Here is an 18,967-nt window from a genome sequence, read left to right as displayed (position 1 = left end):
AAGTCACTTGATCTCTGGGATCAAAGGGACTAAATAAAGACCTCTCCTTTCTCTACAGTTGAGTCTTTTAATGACCAAATCATCCAGCTTATGATTCATTGAACACACACTTATCAAGTGAATACAGGTATACTCTGCTAGTTGCCTATGGGTTAAACAAGTTGAATAGGATCTGTGACCTGAGGGGTTTGCAGTACCCTATAGGTGACAGTTCTATAAACATATAAGAAGTTATAAATAATAAATTTGTTTACCCCTGTATTTCCAGAGCTTATAAAAGTGTCTAAGACATCCTTGTACTTAGTATTTGTCAAATGAATGAATAATATTTGAAATAATGAAATCAATGAAAAATGTGAGTATTCACATTGTACTATGTAATAGCAGAGAAAATGGATTCATTTTAACGTGAAGGATAAAATATTTCACTAAGGAGGTTGTGTTTGAATGAGACCTTGAAGAATGAAACCATTTTTGATGGAGAAGAAGGGTGAGGAAGAGGATATTCTAGGCTGAGGGAACAGCATGAGCAAAAACACAGAGGCATGGAAATGTATGTTTTTTTAAGGGACGTGAATCTGGAAGCTGAAAATCAGTTCGATATAAAGAGACGAGGAACATTTCAGACAAAAATATCAGCACGGGTGAAGGCTTAGTGCTGAGAGGGAGCATAGAATTTGAAGACTGAAAGAAGTATAGCTGGATCATACAGCTTTAGAATAGTAGCACAAGATGAGGCAAGAGAGGTAAATGGGGACTAATTTATGCAGAGCCTTGTAAACCATGTTAAATAATTTGAAGAAGTATTGGGGAGAAATAACATCTAACTTTCATTTTAGAAAGGTCACTCTGGCTGGGCTGTGTAGAGTGGACTGAGGGGGTAAGCTGGAGAGACCTCTTAGAAGTTGTGGTAACAACCATAGTTCCAAAATAACCTGAGTGACTGGGAAGCTGATGGTCATATTAACAGAGGTAAAGCAAACACCCAAGGATGAGGAGGCTGGAGGATGATAAGACCTCCCTGAACACAGAAATAGGTAGATATTTAGGGCTAAAAATCAGCAGAGGTCAGGGTTCAGGATTAATATGTGTGAATTACTTGCCCACAGGTGACCATCTAGATCTAGTGTAAGTATAATAATAGATGACATCATCCTGGGAGATTGTAAAGGCAGAAGAGGAAAGTCAAGGACAGACTGTTTACATTTCACAGGAAACAGGGCCAGGAAGAATGTTGAGAAGATTGCCTAGACAGATAGGAGGAGAGCCAGCAAAGTTCGTTGGAGGCATCTGAAGAGGAATGAGTTTCAAAGAAATGGTCTTAAGATTTCAGTTTCATTCTTTCTCATCAATCCTGTCTGTCAAGACGTCTGCCAGCCCTGGTTCTGTCTATGTCTCTAGATTGAGCTCCTCTGCTCTCTGTGTGCACTGTGCACTCGTAACGCTGAATGCTTTGTACCTGCCCTGCCACTACCACACAGCACATTGTGTACAGCCTTCATTTCTTTGCTGAAATTGTTCCCTTTACTTGGAAATTTTTGTGTCCTTCTTCTCTTGACTTTTTTCTCATGCTTTTAGCTTGGTTCAGACATCATTTGTTTGAATCTCTTACACATCTTTATACCTCTAAACCTAAAGCAATGCCTAAATTTGTAGTTGCTTAGTACTTGTTTTGGTATTAAATTAACCTTACAATCTGAATTATTTCATTGGTCTCCTGGTTTTCTTATTTCTATTATCTCCCAACCCCAGAGAATTGCAATGAATGATACAGCAATAATTTTCCTAAAGCATTATATCTGTCAGAATCTGGTCAGGAAACCAAAAAATACACCAGCTATGAGGTTAGCAGCTTTATTGAGGTATAATTACCATTCAATAAACTGTACATGCTTAAAATGTATAAATTTCTTTTTTGACCCATGGGTATTTGAAGTATGTTTTCTAAATTTCCAAATATTTAGGAGTTTCTTCTAAGTACATTGTTATTTCTACATTCAATTCCATTGTGTCCAGAGAACCTAATAGAAGGCTTTGGGCTTTTAAAGCTTATTGAGACTTGGTTTATGGTCCAGCACATGGACCATCTCAGTGAATAGACCATGTGTACCTGCACGCTTGCAAAGAAAATGTGTTTTCTGCCATAGGAGCTTTATAAATGTCTGTTAGGTCAAGGTGGTTGATGTTAAGTCTTCTAGATCCCCGCTGATATTTTGTCTACTTGTTTTATCAATCACTGAGCAAAGGATGTTAAACTCTCTAAATATGACTTAGTTGGATTTGGCCAGTTCTTTAATTCTTGAGGTTCTTTTTTTTTTTTTTTTTTTTTTTTTTTTTGAGATGAGGTCTCACTATGTTGCCCAGGCTGTTCTCAAATTCCTGGGCTCAAGAGATCCACCTGCTTTGGCCTCCCAAAATGCTGGGATTACAGGCATAAGCCACTGCGCCTAGCTAGTTCTTTAATTCCGTCAGATTTTGCTTCATGTATTTGAAAGCACTGTTCTTAGGCATATATACATTTATGTTTGTGTCTTCCAGATGATTGGCCCTTTTGTCATTATGAAATATCCCTTTTTATCTCTACTAATACCATGGTCTCAAAGTGTATTTTATCTGATATTATTATAGCCACTCAGCTTTCTTATACTTATCGTTCCATGGTATATCTTTATAAAGCATTTACTTTCAACCCATTTGCAATTTTGTTTTTATAGGGTGTCTCTTGTATACAGCATATAATTAGATCTTTTTTATCCAGTCTGAAAATTTGTGCCTGTTAATTGCATTTACTGTGGTTATTGAAATGGTTGGCTTTACAACTGCTATTTTTCTATTACTTTCTCCTTGTTTTGTCGGTGTTTGGTTCCTCTGTTCCTACCTACCTTTCTTCTTTTGAGCTAAGTCAATAATTTTTAGAATTCCACTTTACCTATTAGACTTGGTAGTTATACCAAGGGATTAAATTATACACCTTTAGGTATTCACGGTCTATTTAGAGTTAATATTGTGTCACCATTGCAACCATATAGGCCTATTTACCATCTCATCATTTATGCTATAGTCCAGGGGTCCCCAACCCCTGGGCCACGGACTGGTACCAGTCTGTGACCTGTTAGGAACTGGGCCGCACAGCAGGAGGTGAGAAGCAAGTGGGCTAGCATTGCCACCTGAGCTTCGCCTCCTGTCAGATCAGCAGCGGCATTAGATTCTCATAGGAGCACCCTATTATGAACTGCAATGCGAGGGATCTAGGTTGCACACTCCTTATGAGAATCTAATGCCACATGATCTGAGGTAAAACAGTTTCATCCCCAAACCATCCCCACCACACCCTGTTCTGTGGAAAAATTGTCTTCCACAAAACCAGTCCCTGGTGCCAAAAAGCTTGGGGACTGCTGCTATAGTCGTTTAAACTATATTTACATTTGTTATAACACTCCACACATATTGTTACATTTTCTAAACAGTTACATATATTTTATTTTTAAAAAATTAAGAGTAAAAACAATCTTTTACATTCTCCTATATATTTTCCATTTCTAGAACTCTTTATTTCTTCCCAAAGATCCAACTTTCCATCTGGTGTACTTTGTCTTCAACCCGAAGTACTTCCATTAACAATTCTTGTTATAAAGTTTTACGGGCAATTCATTCTCTTAGTTTCTGTTTATCTTACAATGTTTTGATTTTGCCTTCAATTTTGAAGAATATTGTTGCTGGATATAGAATTCTGCATTGACAGTTTTTTTTCAGCATTAAAAAAAATGGTGTCATTCTGCTATCCTCTAGCCTCTGTTGTTTCTGATGAGAAGTCAGTCATCATTCATCTCATTCTTCCCTTATATAGAATGGGTCATCTTTCTCTGGGTACTTTCAAGATTTTCATTTTTATGTTTGATTATCAGCAATTTGACTATGATGATAACAGGTATGGTTTTCTCTGAGTTTTTTTGTTTGTTTGTTTTGTTTTGTTTTGTTTTTTAACCAGATTTCTCCCCTTTCCAGTGCTGTGGTAGCTCTGAATCTTGTTTTCTGGTTCTTCAGGCCAGTTAAGACTGTGGTTTCAGCCCACTTTTAGCCAATTACTGTAGAGCTGGCTGGATTCAGGGTAGCAAGTTGGAAAAACAGCAAACTTCCCCAGCGTTCTCCGCCTTCTAACTCTTCTCCCTCTCCAGTTTCTGCCTATTTTTGGTCCCCCTCCTATGCCTTCAGGTTATTGGTTTCTTTACATTTTTTAATTTTCTGGCTGTTATCTACAGAGGAGTTGGTCCACTTGAAACTACTCTGCCATTATCACAAAAATATGATACAATACACAGAATTTAATACAAAAACATTAAGTATTAAAAACTGAAAGGGCAAAAAAAAAGAGTACAGCTTAAGCACACCTAATCTGAAAATCCAAAATGCTCCAAAATCCAAAAATTGTTTAGCACTACGTGATGCTCAAACATCATGCTCAAAGAAGTGCTAGTTGGAGCATTTCAGATTTGGGATTTTCAGATTAGGGATGATCAGCTGGTAGTATAATGCAAATATTCCAAAGTCTGAAAAAGTCCAAAATCTAAAACAATTCTGGTCCCAAGCAATTCAGATATGGGACACTCAGCCTGTACCAGGATATCATGGGTACAGGCTGATTTACTTGCATCCAAGGATATCATGGGTACAGGCAAATTACTTGCATCCAAGTCTGCCTTTTGGGGTATCCAAACTAAAACATGTTCAAATTGTTGCTGAGCAAATATATTCATGTTCATTCACTTATTGGGAAGCTACAATTTTCTAGACACTGTGAAATCAAACTGGTAACTTATATTATTAGTTATTTTTATGTGTTTATCATACACATACCCATGGTATGATCAAGGTAGCAACTGCAGGGATAAGTCACCAGCCCTAACGCTGGAGGAGTTATTCAAATTTAGAAGCTTGAAGAAGGGGCTCTGTGGGGTGGTGACCCAGGCCTCTTAGGATGGGGTGCTTGTTGGCGGGTGCTAATGTTAAGAGAGTATGATAAGGTTGCTTCTACAAGTGTTGGAAAAATGCAAACTGGCAAGAACGCATTCTTTCTATCTTCTCCACCGATGGAGTGGAGAAGCGTTGCAAGGGTGTTGCAGTCAGGAGCAGAGGACAAACAGGAAGGAGCAAGTCCTCTCTTCCTACTCTAACCTTCCCATCTCCCTCTAGCACCTCTTGTTGGCAGCACCTAACAAAAAGCTAACTGGCAAAGTATGAACACGGTATGTGGTGTCACAGCTCCAGTATCACAAAGCAAGAGTATAGAAGGGTGTGAGTATGAAGCTGACACAGCAGCTCAGTAGCTGCCACAGCCCATCCATTGCCTACTCAGCATCATACACATTCTACACATATTTAACTTTCCGAGCAACAACAACAACCCTCTTTGTCTACCTAACAAGATACAACTATCTTTGAATGAAGATGCTGTCCCCAAAACAAAGCCACAAAGTTCTCAGACCTCTAAGATACCCAGTCCCCAATTCCTAAAACTTTCTGGAGTTATGTTGTGAGAATCAGTTTCCATCACATTGGCTTTCCCCTCTACAGGCATTTAGGTTTTGCTGCTTCTACTCCTCCACAAACTTTTCCTTTTCACAAAATTTGTTGACATTTCTTATCTTTTGTTGTCTCTTCTGTTCTATTTCCCCTCTGGTTGGTGCCTTTTTATTCCACTTCTGTCATTTCAATGGGTTTTGAGAAAGGAGGGGGAGTGATTATATCTTGTAGATGGTACTGTTGATGCTCCACCCCATACTCTCTTGGCCTTCCTCTGAGTACTACTGCAGCCTTGGTGACCAGTTCCATTTACACTGAAAGTACCTGTATCTCTCTTCTTCTCCACCCCGGAGCTTTCTCCAGAGCCCTTAGACTTGTTCATCCTAAGTGCAGGGTAGCCTGGAAGTTGCAGGGATTTAATGCCCAGAGTCAACCCTCAACCAGTGATAGTTAAGAGTTATTGAAAAAATATTCCACCTTCTCATCCCTGGGAGGACAGTTCTGAGGCAACCCAACAGGAGTGGCTCTCATTTTCCCACAACAGTAAATTGCTTGTTCATATACTCTTTATTGACTTTTGTCCCTTCTTTGTTTTAAATTTCCCGGTCCCTCGTTTGTGCTTCTTTAAATCACTGGCCAAATTACTTGCATCCAAGTCTGCCTTTTGGGGTATCCAAACTAAAACATGTTCAAATTGTTGCTGAGCAAATATATTCATGTTCATTCATTTATTGGGAGGCTACAATTTTCTAGACACTGTGAAATCGAACTGGTAACTTACATTATTAATTTTTATGTGTTTATTGTACATACACCGGTGTGTATATGTGTACATATACACAAGTTTGTGTGTGTATATATGTACATATACACAAGTTAGTGTGTGTATATATGTACATATACACAAGTTAGTGTGTATATATGTACATATACACAAGTTAGTGTGTGTATATGTATCTATCTATATATACATAATCCATACTTTGTTTATTGACAATAGGAATTCATCGTTCATTGGCATTAGTTCATCGACAGTAGGAATTGTGACTTCTGCTTGTGCATATCTCCTGCATTTAATACAGTTCAGTACAAACAGTGGGTACTAACAATGATTTCTTGATGGACCATTCCTATTTTTAGGCGTCAAATACAATATACATTGTTATACAGAAAATCAACATATAAAGTTGATATTAAATAATTTATAAATTAAGATATAGTTAAATTTAACAAACATTTGACACCTCCTATATGCAAAAGCATGATGCAGTTATAAAGTCAGAATGCAGGAACTTAATATGATATGTGATAGGCACTAAATAGCATATAATTAAGTGAAAAATGAGTTTATAGAAATATTACCTCAGAGAAGGGAGAGATTAAGATAGAGTGGTAGACATGATTGGAAATAGCTTCTAGAAGTAGTAGTTATTTGAGGAATAGTAGGGTTTAATAGGATTTAAACAGGTGGAGAAGAAGAGGGTATTCCAGGATGGGGAATCAGTGGTGATGGTCAAGAGCCCTGTGTTAACATGGAGAATGAAGCTAAATGGACCTAAATGCTCATGGCGTGTGGAGTGACAGGGAGAATGGCCTGACTGAGGGTTTGTTTCCTGTTGAATAGCAACAGAAAGTAAGCAATGAAGGGCCTTTGAAACCCAAGGAATTTGGACTTTCTCACTGACACAAGAGGCAATTTTTGAAGGATTTTCAAATATAAACTATAAAGTAGTAATTGAATTGGAGAGGAATAATTTGACGCATTGCATAGACAGCAGGGGTGGATGAAGGCTGATGGAAGAGAAACCTGGTACAACTTGCTTTCTAGAATCTTCAAGACTCTTTAGCTTTCTGTATAAGTAAACATTTTTCTCTTTGAAATAATGTACTATCCATTTCAAATCATTATTTTTCATTTGGCTTCTTCTAGGTCATAGTATTTGATTCATTTAAAAAGTTAGCAACTTTAGCAAAAGTCCAAGCAACCAAAAGATTGCAGCCTATTCTTCCCGGGCTATTGGGAAAGGGGGTGGGTAGAAATGGAATGACTTCTGTCTGGTTTGCTTCATTGAATTTTAAGGATTTGTTCATTTGTTTCATTTTAAACTTTTTTACTAAACCTTAAAATGGCAGCCATACAGACAACTTTATGCATCTGAATTTTGAGATTTAGATTAAGTATTGTGAATATTTTCATCAGAAAGTTCTGGTCATTCTGAAATGTCCTAGTTTAATATTGCTAAATTTTAAGATGATCTTATTACATATAGAGCAAAACATTTTTGTCTTGTTTTTCTCACATGTAAAATGAAAGTCAATGGAAAAATATTTAACTAAAATTCACTTTTAATGAATGATTTGATGTAAATGTGGTGATATGCAAAGTCACTTTGAAATACCATAAATCTAGTAATCTAGTACTCAACTAGGAATATATTCGTTTGGGTGTTTTGTTTTGTTTTGTTTTGTTTTTCATAGAAATGGGGTCTCACAATGTTGCCCAGGCTGGTCTCAAACTCCTGGGCTCAAGTGATTTTCCCACCTCAGCCTCCCAGTAGCTGGGACTACAGGCACTGCGCCTGGCTTATATTTGGTATTTTTAACAGACTTTCAATCATCTAAATATAATTCAGTCATATGCAAATTAGGAATATTTTAGGAGAGGTTCTTTTCATCTACCTATTTCCTTTAATCATTATTAAGCAGTTAAACTATATTCAGTTTAGAAAAATGAAGGCGTTACTTTTTCTTTCATCTTTGTGCTTCAGTTTCCCTTGCACCCAATGAGCATTCATTGAACCTGTCCTCTGGGAATGGCACTGTTAGGTGCTGAGACACGAAGATGACTCCTTGCAAGGTCTCCTCAAGGAGACTTTTGTCAGGTAGGGGACAAGATAAATGAGATATGAAGTGTTATAATTACTCACAGAGCTTCAAACAGGACATGTGAAGATAGACAATAATAGGATAGGGTGAGGAAAGAAAAGGGTCAGGGCAAGCTTTAAAGAGAAAGTGATACTTGAATTGAGTTTTAAAAGATGAGAGGATGGAAGAAAAATGGAATTTCTGGTGAAGATAGCAATGTAAGTTTCTTGAACTGTCTTAATTCTGTGGTACATACCAGCAGTATTTTTGCTAAGGCTAACCTCCAACTGCAGATGAAAATGAAAAGGAAGCTTTATAGAGACAAAGAAAAGTTTCTTTTCTTTAATAACTCAGAGCCCAAAAGTGATGAGGATAGCATGTAAATGTGCATTCTGAAGTATTTTATGACATACATTGTGATGTATAATCACTCAATAGTGAATCACACAATTTCTGCGTCCTCTTTTGGGAGCTTCGAAAGATAGCCTCTTCCTTTGGCCCTCTTCTACCTCATCATGCTTCTCGTTTCATGAACACAACCTCATAAAAATAACGGTCTTTCTTTTCGTATCCCGGTTCAGATGGAGCTGTTACAGAGCAAGCCCTGGCGCTGAGGGTGTTCCTAAGAATTTGCATCTAGAAACTCGGACCAGGTCTATAATGCGTAGATTCAATAGACATTCCTGGATCAGGCCCACCTTCAGTTTCAGTTTCTTACAATTCCTTCAGTGTTTTCTATTTGTAATAAATATTGTTTGTTATATTCTAGGGACTATTTTATGTACTTTGGTGATATTAACCACTAGAATGGACAAAGATCTCCAGCCCAGTGGAACTTATATTTTACTAATTGTCAGAACAGCTCTGAAAGATTGTTTCCTTTCTTCCGTATAGACAAAGCATTTATTAAAATTAAGCTTCTACCTAAAGTACTGAGTTTCTTTAATGTGCCTTGCATATAGAAACTGTGTGGAAGAAGACATTCTTTATTTTTGGGGAGAAAGCTTTTCTTTTTCTTTCTTTTTTTTTTTTTTTTTTTTTTTTTTTTTTGTAGCTGAGGGTTCTGTAAGGATAGACCAGTATGATGTGGCATATTTTCCCTAGTTTATCTTGTAAAAAAGATGAAAGTTGGAAAGTACTAAAAATATGGTGGTTTCAGCGACAGATAAGTGGGTGAAGGGAGAAATATTTAAAGACAAGTTATTTGAAGCTTTCCTTGCTTTGTGCTTCAGTGAGGAGAGAGGGAGAAGGCAGCTACCAAAATGACTAAGGCGTCAATTATAGCTTGGGTGTACTTTAAATAGGCAGAATATAGAAGCATAGTAAGAAAGCAGAGGGCTAAATAGGAAAGAATTCTGTTATGACATTAAAAAATCCTATTTATTAAAATTATAACAGATTTGAAATAGAGTATTTTCAGTTTTATTTTTTGATTATAGCTCTTATTTGTTCTTTTATAGATGCTGTGCCTACTCTCTCAGAAAATAGTCCTTCTGGGCAGAGAGATGTGAGTTTGGACAAGAGATCAGATGGTATCTTTACAAATACTGTCACAGAAAACCTCTTGGAAACACCTTTAGAAAAGCAATCAGCTGCAGAAGGTCTTAAAACATTGACAATTTTACCAGCATGTTGGTCAAGTAAAGAGGAGTTTATCAGCCCCGACTTAAGGGTATCAAAGTCAGATTCTACTTTCCATAACCAGGCCTCTGTAGAAACACTCTGTCTCTCTCCCTCATTCAAAATATTTGACCGAGTGAAGGAGATTGTAATCAACAAGGCCTACCAGAAACCAGCACAATCCAGCATTCAGATGGATGATAAAATCCTCAAGACAACCACACGGGGTGAGTCTGCCAAACACACACACACACACACACACACACACACACAACAAAAAACCTCTTTTGAAGCATTATTTTACTTTTCTCTGCTTTCTGTCTCCTTTTTTTGTTCCCTCCTTTCACTCTTCATCATTGATATTAAAATGTACATGCCATACACATACTTCTTAGTTGGGAAAGTCCCCCTTTTATTAAAGGGCTAATAGATAATTCATCACCGTGGGTTCTGAGTCCTTGGTTGAATATAAGATCTGAGCAATTTTGGTGCAGACCAAATTAGAAGGAACTAGTGTGAAGTAAGTGCTTTCTGTTAGACATGTAGGTTACTTATTAAGAGATTATATGAAAAAGAATTGGTTATTATGTGTATTGGTGTATACACACACCCCCACATACACACGGGTGTATGTGTGCCCCTTTAAAAAGGGCTGTGTACTGATTGCACAAAAGGGGCAGGGGATCTTGTCTTTTTTATATTATATATATTTTATATTATAAAGATATAAAAAACCTTAAGAAGATTGCAGTATTGTTTAGACTGGGTAATAAAGGATAAAGCCAGTTGAGATTTCAGGTTATTGGCTCTCAGTTACTAAATCCTCTATTATATAATTATGCTTTCTACTTTAAAGTTTACTAGTAAAATAATAATTTTTATGAATTTTTCAAAGACTAAGTAGTAGTTTTATTGGTTCTTACATATAATAGTGCTAACCAACTCATATAAATATAAAGCTTTTTAAATGTATTTATTTTTATTAGAGACAGGGTCTTGTTCTGTTGCAATCAGTGCAATCATAGCTCACTGCAGCTTCAAACTCCTGGGCTCAAGCAATCCTTCCACCCCTCAGCCTTCCAAATAGCTACGACTACAGGTGCATGCCACCACTCCTGGCTAATTTTATTTTTGTGTGTGTGGAGGTGGGGTCTTGCTATGTTGCCCAGGTTGGTCTTGAACTCCTGGCCTCAAGTGATCCTCCTGCCTCAGCCTCCCAAAGCTCTGGGATCACAGGCATGATCCACTGTGTCTGGCCAATAAAGATTTTAACGTGAATCTTTTAAACAGACTCAAACCCAGATCAAAAGTACATATAAATATAAACAATGGAAGCCACCATGTTGAAGTTAAAGAAATTTATATTGGTATTAGTAAGGTCAATGAGTAACAAAAGATTTTCCTTGGTGCTCTTTCAAGACTTTTTTGATACTGAATAGCCTAAAGGTAGTAAAACTGATTCTCAGTTTTGTCAACCAATTAACTTTTCTTCTGAGACTGCTGATGTGGAAACCTGTTAGTACTGGTTATGATGGCTCTGATGGATTATGTGCCTGGCTGTCGCTGGGAAGTTGATACGTTTGGTTTTTTTATTTCATGAATACCACAAAAAGATCATTGAAAATACTTTTTGGTCGCTGTGAGTGTACCAAGTACACTTAAAATTTAGCGAGAAGTTCCTCTAAAACTGGTTAACAAGGAGAACTTTTTTGTCTGCTTATAATAGATAGTATTGATCTAATTCTACTACCAAAAATAATTATTAAATCTAGGAAATTATTAAAAGCTGGTTTGAAGTCATCATCAAACAACCAAGTAGAAAATACATAATAGGTTAAGATCCCAGGGGGAAGGAAATTGAGATGAGTCCCTCAGTCACCTTAGTTTCCCCACCTTGAGTCATTTGCCAATTCTCAGAGCAAGATAATAGAAGCTGAAGAAAAATCAGAGGCGTAGGCTTTCCGCAGTCTCACTGAGCTTGGGAGACACGGTAGGAGTTTGAGCTTTCAAGGTGTCAGGGACTTGAAGGGCCTGTATTCCAGAGGGAGGGAATCACAGAGAAGAAATCCTAAAACCTTTTTGTCATTTCAAAACATTTGCCTACTGCTAAGCTACATGCGTTCAGGATGAGATGCCAAGAAACTAAATGGGAAGCAGCTTCTAAGAGGCCAGTGAGCTATGCAGAGATTCTGATGATTCTGATGATACAAGGAAACAAATGTTGGAGTTCAGGATATAGCAAATGGGAGGAGCCATGGGAAACACTCCAGGCTTTCCACTGGGACCCCTGATAGCCTACACCCTAGGCCTCAGGACTATACTCTAGGAGTAAGGACAAATGAGAAGTTGAGCAGCCCTCACAAATACTATTAATAAAACCTATTTCACCTAGAGCAAAGTGATTGACTTGTATTCCATCTGCCTTCCAGAAGACAATTCAATCCTTTCCAGAGAGCTCTTAAAATTTTTCATTGAAAATTTTGACTTTCAACAAAAAGTTACCAAGCATACTAGGATATGAAAAAACGGCCAGAAATATAGGAGAAAAGTAGACAACAGAAACAGATCCACAGTAATCTAGATTCTGAATGTATAAGATAGGTAATTTAAAACTATGATTAATATTAATATGATCAAGAAGACAGGAAAGATGAAGAATTTCATCAGAATACTAGTATCTATTTTAAAAATCAAATGGACCTGGTACAGTGACTTGTGCCTGTAATCCCAGCACTTTGGGAGGCTAAGGCAGGGAGAATGCTTTGAGGCTAGGAGTTCAAGATAAGCCTGGGCAACATAGGGAGACCCCATCTCTACAAAAAATATACATATTAGCCAGATGTGGTAGCATGTGCCTGTAGTCCTAGCTACCCTGGAAGCTGAGGCAGGAGGATCACTTGAGCCCAAGAGGTTGAGGCTACAGGGAGCCATTATCATGCCACTGCGCTTTAGCCTGGGTGACACAGTGAGAGCCTGGGTGACACAGTGAGAGCCTGGGTGACACAGTGAGATCCTGTGTCAAAAAAAAAAAAATCAAATGAAAATTGTAGAGCTGAAAAATACAGTAGCTGAAATTAAGATTCTGAGGGTACTCTTCAGTCCTCATAGCCTGGAGTGTCAAAAGAGAGTTCAGTTCTGGCAGGGAAGCTGGAAAGTTATCAATGAAAACCTAAAAGAGGAGACTGAGAAGGGGCAAACCTCATTATTTGTGTATAAACTCTTCCCAAATTCTTGACCGACCACTAAACTATACGTATAGGGGGACCCCAGCGAGTCTGACCAGAAAAGAAAATCCTACTGGAAGCCAAAAGAACTGAGATGAGACCAGCTTTTGCTTACTGGAGTTTGAAAAGGCCAGGCAAGTTATCTTCCAACCAGAACAAAAATCAGTGCTCTTTAGAGGAGTATCACAGAATCCAGACACTTTACAATGTATCATCCAAATGTCCAGTATAAAATTTTAAAAATCACTAGGCATTTGAAGAAATAGGAAAATATGGGTCATAATGAAGATATTAAGAGTCAGTAGAAACTGACCCTTAGATGACCCAGGTGTTGCAATTAGCAGACAAATTCTAAAAGCAGCTATTACAAATCCATTTAAGAACTTAAAGTACTCACAACTAATGAATAGAAAGGAGCATCTCGGCAGGCAAAAAACTGTAAAAAGGAATTAAATGGAAGTTCTGGAGCTGAAAGATAAATAATTGAAATGAAAATTTTACTGGAAGGGCTTAGCAGAAGATTAAAAATGAAAGAAAGAGCAAGTGAATTTGAAAATAGATCAATAGAAATCATCTAATCTGAAAAATGGAAAGAAAAAGATTAAAGAAAAAGAAACAGAGAGACTCAGTCTTGTGAAACAGTGTCAAGCAGTCTGACACTGATGTAATTGGAGTTCTAAAAGGTGAGGAAAAGACATAGGGGTCAGAAAAAATCATTTGAAGAGACAATGCTCAAACCTCTCCAAATGTGTGAAAGAAATAAACTTTCAGATCCAAAATGCCCAATGAATTTCAAACAGAATTAAAGAAAAAAACACTATGTCTAGACACATCATAGTTGGACAGCTGAATTCCAGAGACAAAATCTTGAAAGCAGCAAGCAAAATTATCATATTACATGCAGAGGACCAAGAATATGAATGACACCTGATTTTTCATCATAAGCAGTGTATACCAGGAGACAATGAAAAGTCATCTTTTAAGTGTTAAATGACAAAACCTATTAACCCAGAATTCTATATCTAGCAGAACCAAAAAAATGAAGATGAAAACAGGACTTAATTCAAGTGAATAAAAACTGATCATCGGGGAATCCATACTACAAGAAACACTGAAGGATTATTTTCAGCCTAATGAGAAATTATGCTAGTTACCTGAATCTACAGAAACAAATGATGAGCACTGGAAATTATAAATATGTGGATAAATATAAAATACTATGCATATTTTTCTTCTAATTAAAAAGTACATGTAACTAAAGCAAAACTTATAATACTGTATTTTGGGGTTTAAAACATATGTAGATATATATTGCAACATAGCACCAAGAATGGAAAGTTCATGGAATTATACCATTGAAAGATTTCTATATTTTACATGAAATAGTACAGTATTAACTATGATTAACTCACGATAAGTTAAGCATGCATATTTAATTACGCTTGTAGAAAGAATAGTGGTATAGCCAAAGTCCTACTGAGGAATTAATATGGAATAGTAAAAATATATTCGATCAACACAAAAGAAGAAAGGAGGGACAAAAACAGACAAATAGAAGGCAGATAGCAAAATAGAAGACCTAAATCCAAGCATTTCAATAATTACATTAAATGGAAGTGGAATAAACTTTCCAATTAAGAGGAAGAGACTTTAGATTGGATAGAAAAGCAAGAGTCAACTATATGCTATCTATGAGGGAAGTGCTTTAAATACAAAGACATAAATTGATTGAAAGTAAAACAATTAAAAATATGTACTGTGCAAGCAGCATAATAAAGTGGGAGTAGCTATATTAATACCAGACAAAACTGACTTCAAGACAAGGATTATTACTAAAAAAGAACATTTCATATTGATACATAGGCCAAAACATGAGGGATATACAGCAACTAAATGTGTGTATGTAACTAATAAAAGAACTTCAAAAATACATGAAGCAAAAACTGACAGAATTATAGGGAGAAATTACACAAATCTGCAGTTTTAATTTGAGATTTTATTATTCTCAGCAATTGATAGAACTAGGCATAAAAATCCATGAGTATGTAGAAAGTATGAATAACTATTCAAAAACATTACCCTACTTCAAATCTCTAAATCACAACATCCAATCACTGCAGAATACATTATTTTTCTTTTTTTTAACATTCTTTTTCAAGTGCAAAATGAACATTCACCAAGAAAGAACACATACTGCATCATTAAAAACAAAAACTATTTTGAAATAAAGTGCGGTATGAAAACAAACAAAAAGTAACAATAAATTTCAAAAGATTGAAATCTTAAAAAAGTATGGTCTCTGGCCACAGCAGAATTAAATTAGAAATTGGTAACAATGAAATACATAGAAGAACTCCAAATATTTGGAAATTTAGCAATATGCTTCTAAATAATCTATGAGTCAAAGAAGAAATCTGAAGAGAAATGAGAAAATATTTCAAACAATGATAATGAAAATCAAAAAATGTGAGATGCATTAAAACTAGTAGGAAATTGCTAGAGGGAAAATTACAGCTTTAAATGCTTATATGAGAAAGGAAGAATGCCTTAAAAATCAGTAATAGAAGGTTCTAACTTAAGATGCTTGGAAAAAAGGAACAAATTAAACCTAAAGTCAGTAAAAGGAAGTAAACAACAAAAATAAGAATAAATGAAATAAAAACAGATTAAAGGTGGCTCTTTAAAAAGGTTAAAATTTATAAATCCCTATTAAGACTGATCAAAAAAATAATTACAAATTACCAATTCTAAGAATTAAAGATAGTATATAACTAAAAAACCTATAGATTACCAAAAGATTATGAGAGAGTATTATGAACAACATTATGGCAATAGATTTGATGCCTTAGTTGAAATGGATAAGACAACTGGCTAAAATTGACCTGCGAAGACCTTTGTGTTCGTCAAATAAGCTGGGGAAAAAAGACATATAGATACACACATATACACAAACACACATATACATATATTATCAAAAACACATCACAGAGAAAACCTCAGTCCCCTATAGTCTTACTAGTGAATTCTAAGAAAGAAGTAATGATAATCATGTGCCAATTTTTTCAGAAAGTAGAAAAGGAAGGACTACCCAACTCATTTTATGAAGCTAGCAGAATCTAATGCCAAAATCTGACAAAGACATTTCAAGAAAAGTAAATTATAGACCAATATTCCTCAAAAATTTACACAAATGTAGAAATCCTCAGTAAAATATTAGCAAATCAAATCCAGCAACATAGAAAAATAATAATACATCATGACCAAGTGGGATTTTTCCCCGAATTATAAGGTTGGTTTGACATTTGAAAATCTGTAACTGTAATCTACCATATTAACAGAATCAGATGGAAATGATAAAATTATCTTGATTCATGCAGAAAAGCATTTGGCAAAATTCTACACTCATTTACAATCTTTAAAAAATTTAAGCAAACTATGAATAAGAGGGAACTTCGCTCAAGCTGATAAAGGGTATATATTTTTAAAGGGTATACTTTTTAGGCCAGATATGGTGGCTCACACCTGTAATCCCAGCACTTTGGGAAGCCAAGGCAGGAGGATCAGTTGAGGCCAGGAGTTCAAGATCAGAGTGGTCAACATAGTGAGACCCTGTCTCTACAAAAAATTTAAAACATTAGCCAGGCATGGTGGCATGCGCCTGTAATCCCAGCTGTTCAGGAGGCTGAGGTGGGAAGGTCACTTGAGCCCAAGAGTTTGAGGCTGCAGCGAGCTATGATTGCCCCACTGCACCCCAGCCTGGGCAACAGAGCAAGACACCCATCTCCAAAATAAATAAATAAATAAAATGTTTTTTAAAAAGCCCTAATATGTACTGCTGACATAATTAATGATAAAAGACTGAATGCATTACCACTCAGATCAGCAACAAAGAAAGGATGGCTGCTGTCACCGCTTTTATTCAACATTGTATTAGAGGTCTTAGGCAGTGCAGTTAGGCCAGAAAAATAAATAAAAGGCATATGTATTGGAAAGGAAGAAATAAAATGTTTTTATTCGAAGATGATAGGATTATCTGTGTGGAAGATCTCAAAGAGTCTGTCAAACAGGCTACTAGACCTAGTAGGTGAGTTTAGCAAGATTTCAGGATACATAGTTAGCATAAAAAATGTATTGTCCCAACCTGGACAACTGTATTAGTCTGTTTTCACACTGCTATCAATGACTAAGACTAGGTAATTTATAAAGGAAAGAAGTTTAGTTGACTCACAGTTCCTCATGGCTGGGGAGGCCTCAGGAAACTTAGAATCATGGTGGAAGGAGAAACAGGCACCTTTTTCACAAGGTGGTAGGAGAGAGAGTGCATGAAGGAGGAACTGTCAAACACTTATAAAACCATCAGATCTCGTGAGAATTCACTCACTATCATGAGAACAGCATGGGGGAAACCACCCCATGATCCAGTCACTTCCCTCCCTTGACACGTGGGGAATACAATTCGAGATGAGATTTGAGTGGGAACACAGTCAAACCATATCAACAACATAGGGAGACCCTGTCCCTATTTTAAAATTTTTAAATTTTTTTTTTTGAGATGGAGTTTCACTTTGTCACCCAAGCTGGAGTGCAGTGGGGTGATCTTGGCTCACTGCAACCTCTACCTCCTGGATTCAAGTGATTCTCCTGCCTCAGCCTCCTGAGTAGCTGGGATTACAGGCACGTGCCACCATGCCCAGCTAATTTTTGCATTTTTAGTAGAGATGGGGTTTCGCCATGTTGACCAGGCTGGTCGAACTGCACCTGGCCGAAAATTTTTAATTTTTTTTAAATTTAGCCTGGCATGGTGGTGCACACCTTGTGGTCCCAGCTCCTTGGGAGGCTGAGGTGGGAGGATTTCTTGAGCCCAGGAGTTCAAAGCTGCAGTGAGCTATGATTGCACCACTGGACTCCAGCTTGAGCAACAGAGTGAGACCCTATCTCAAAAAACAAACAACAATAATAAATAATTAGAAATTGAAATTAAAACAGTACCATTTACAGTAGCATTTTTCAAAAACAAAATACTTAACAAAAGACATGTAAGACCTCTGCAGTGAAAACTATGAAACATTTCTGAGAGCAATTAAAGACCTAAATAAGTTGAGAAGATACACAGTGTTCATGGATTGGAAGACTCAGTATTGTTAAGATGTAATTTTTCTCCAAATAGCTCTGCAGATTCAATGCAGTCCCAGAAGGCTTTTTTTTTTTTTTGGTAGAAATTGACAAGCTGAGTCTTACATTTAAATAGAAATACAAAGTGTCTAGAATAGCCAAAACAATCCTGAAAGCAAAAGAACAAAGTTGGAGGACTCCTACTACCTAATTTCAAGTCTTACGGTAAAGCTATAGTAATCAAAATAGTGTGATATTGTCTCTATTGTACATATATTTTTGTATCATTTTTATACTTAGAAGCTTTTATAAATGTTGAAATATTGACCCTCTGATTGAAATTTCTTGAACATCAGGTAAGGTGATTGGTTGAATAATAGAATAATATTTTCCTCCAGTCATTGCTGTGGTACTTAACTTGCTTATGTAATTGCTTAACTATAATATTTTAACATTGATTTGTAAAAATATATGTGTGTGTGACCGGGCACTGTGGCTCATGCCTGTAATCTCAGCACTTTGGGAGGCCAAGGCAGGAGGATCACTTGAGGTCAGGAGTTCAAGACCAGCCTGGTCAACATAGTGAAAGCTTGTGTCTACTAAAAATACAAAAATTAGCCAGGTGT

At 36.6% G+C, this 18,967-nt stretch overlaps 1 protein-coding gene across 7 annotated transcripts in view; it reads left to right on the top strand.

Annotated features, from left to right (window-relative positions):
• The window catches only part of ENTHD1 (ENTH domain containing 1), a 150,717-nt gene that overhangs the window by 118,306 nt on the left and 13,444 nt on the right, over positions 1–18,967 (top strand). For 5 of the 7 annotated variants that reach the window (XM_006724150.4, XM_011529928.3, XM_011529927.3 and 2 more), the window contains one exon: positions 9,846–10,232. In XM_006724150.4, coding sequence (XP_006724213.1) covers positions 9,846–10,232 — 387 coding nt within the window. Of the gene's footprint in view, positions 1–8,288; positions 8,403–9,845; positions 10,233–18,967 lie in introns of those variants that run through there. The other 2 variants (XM_011529930.3, XM_011529931.3) reach the window with 2 other exon arrangements.

The sequence above is a fragment of the Homo sapiens genome, chromosome 22 (genome assembly GCF_000001405.40).
Source record: "Homo sapiens chromosome 22, GRCh38.p14 Primary Assembly".
Taxonomy (NCBI): Eukaryota; Metazoa; Chordata; class Mammalia; order Primates; family Hominidae; genus Homo; species Homo sapiens.
Note: the sequence above shows the minus strand (reverse complement) of the source record. Positions and strands in the feature narration are given on the sequence as shown.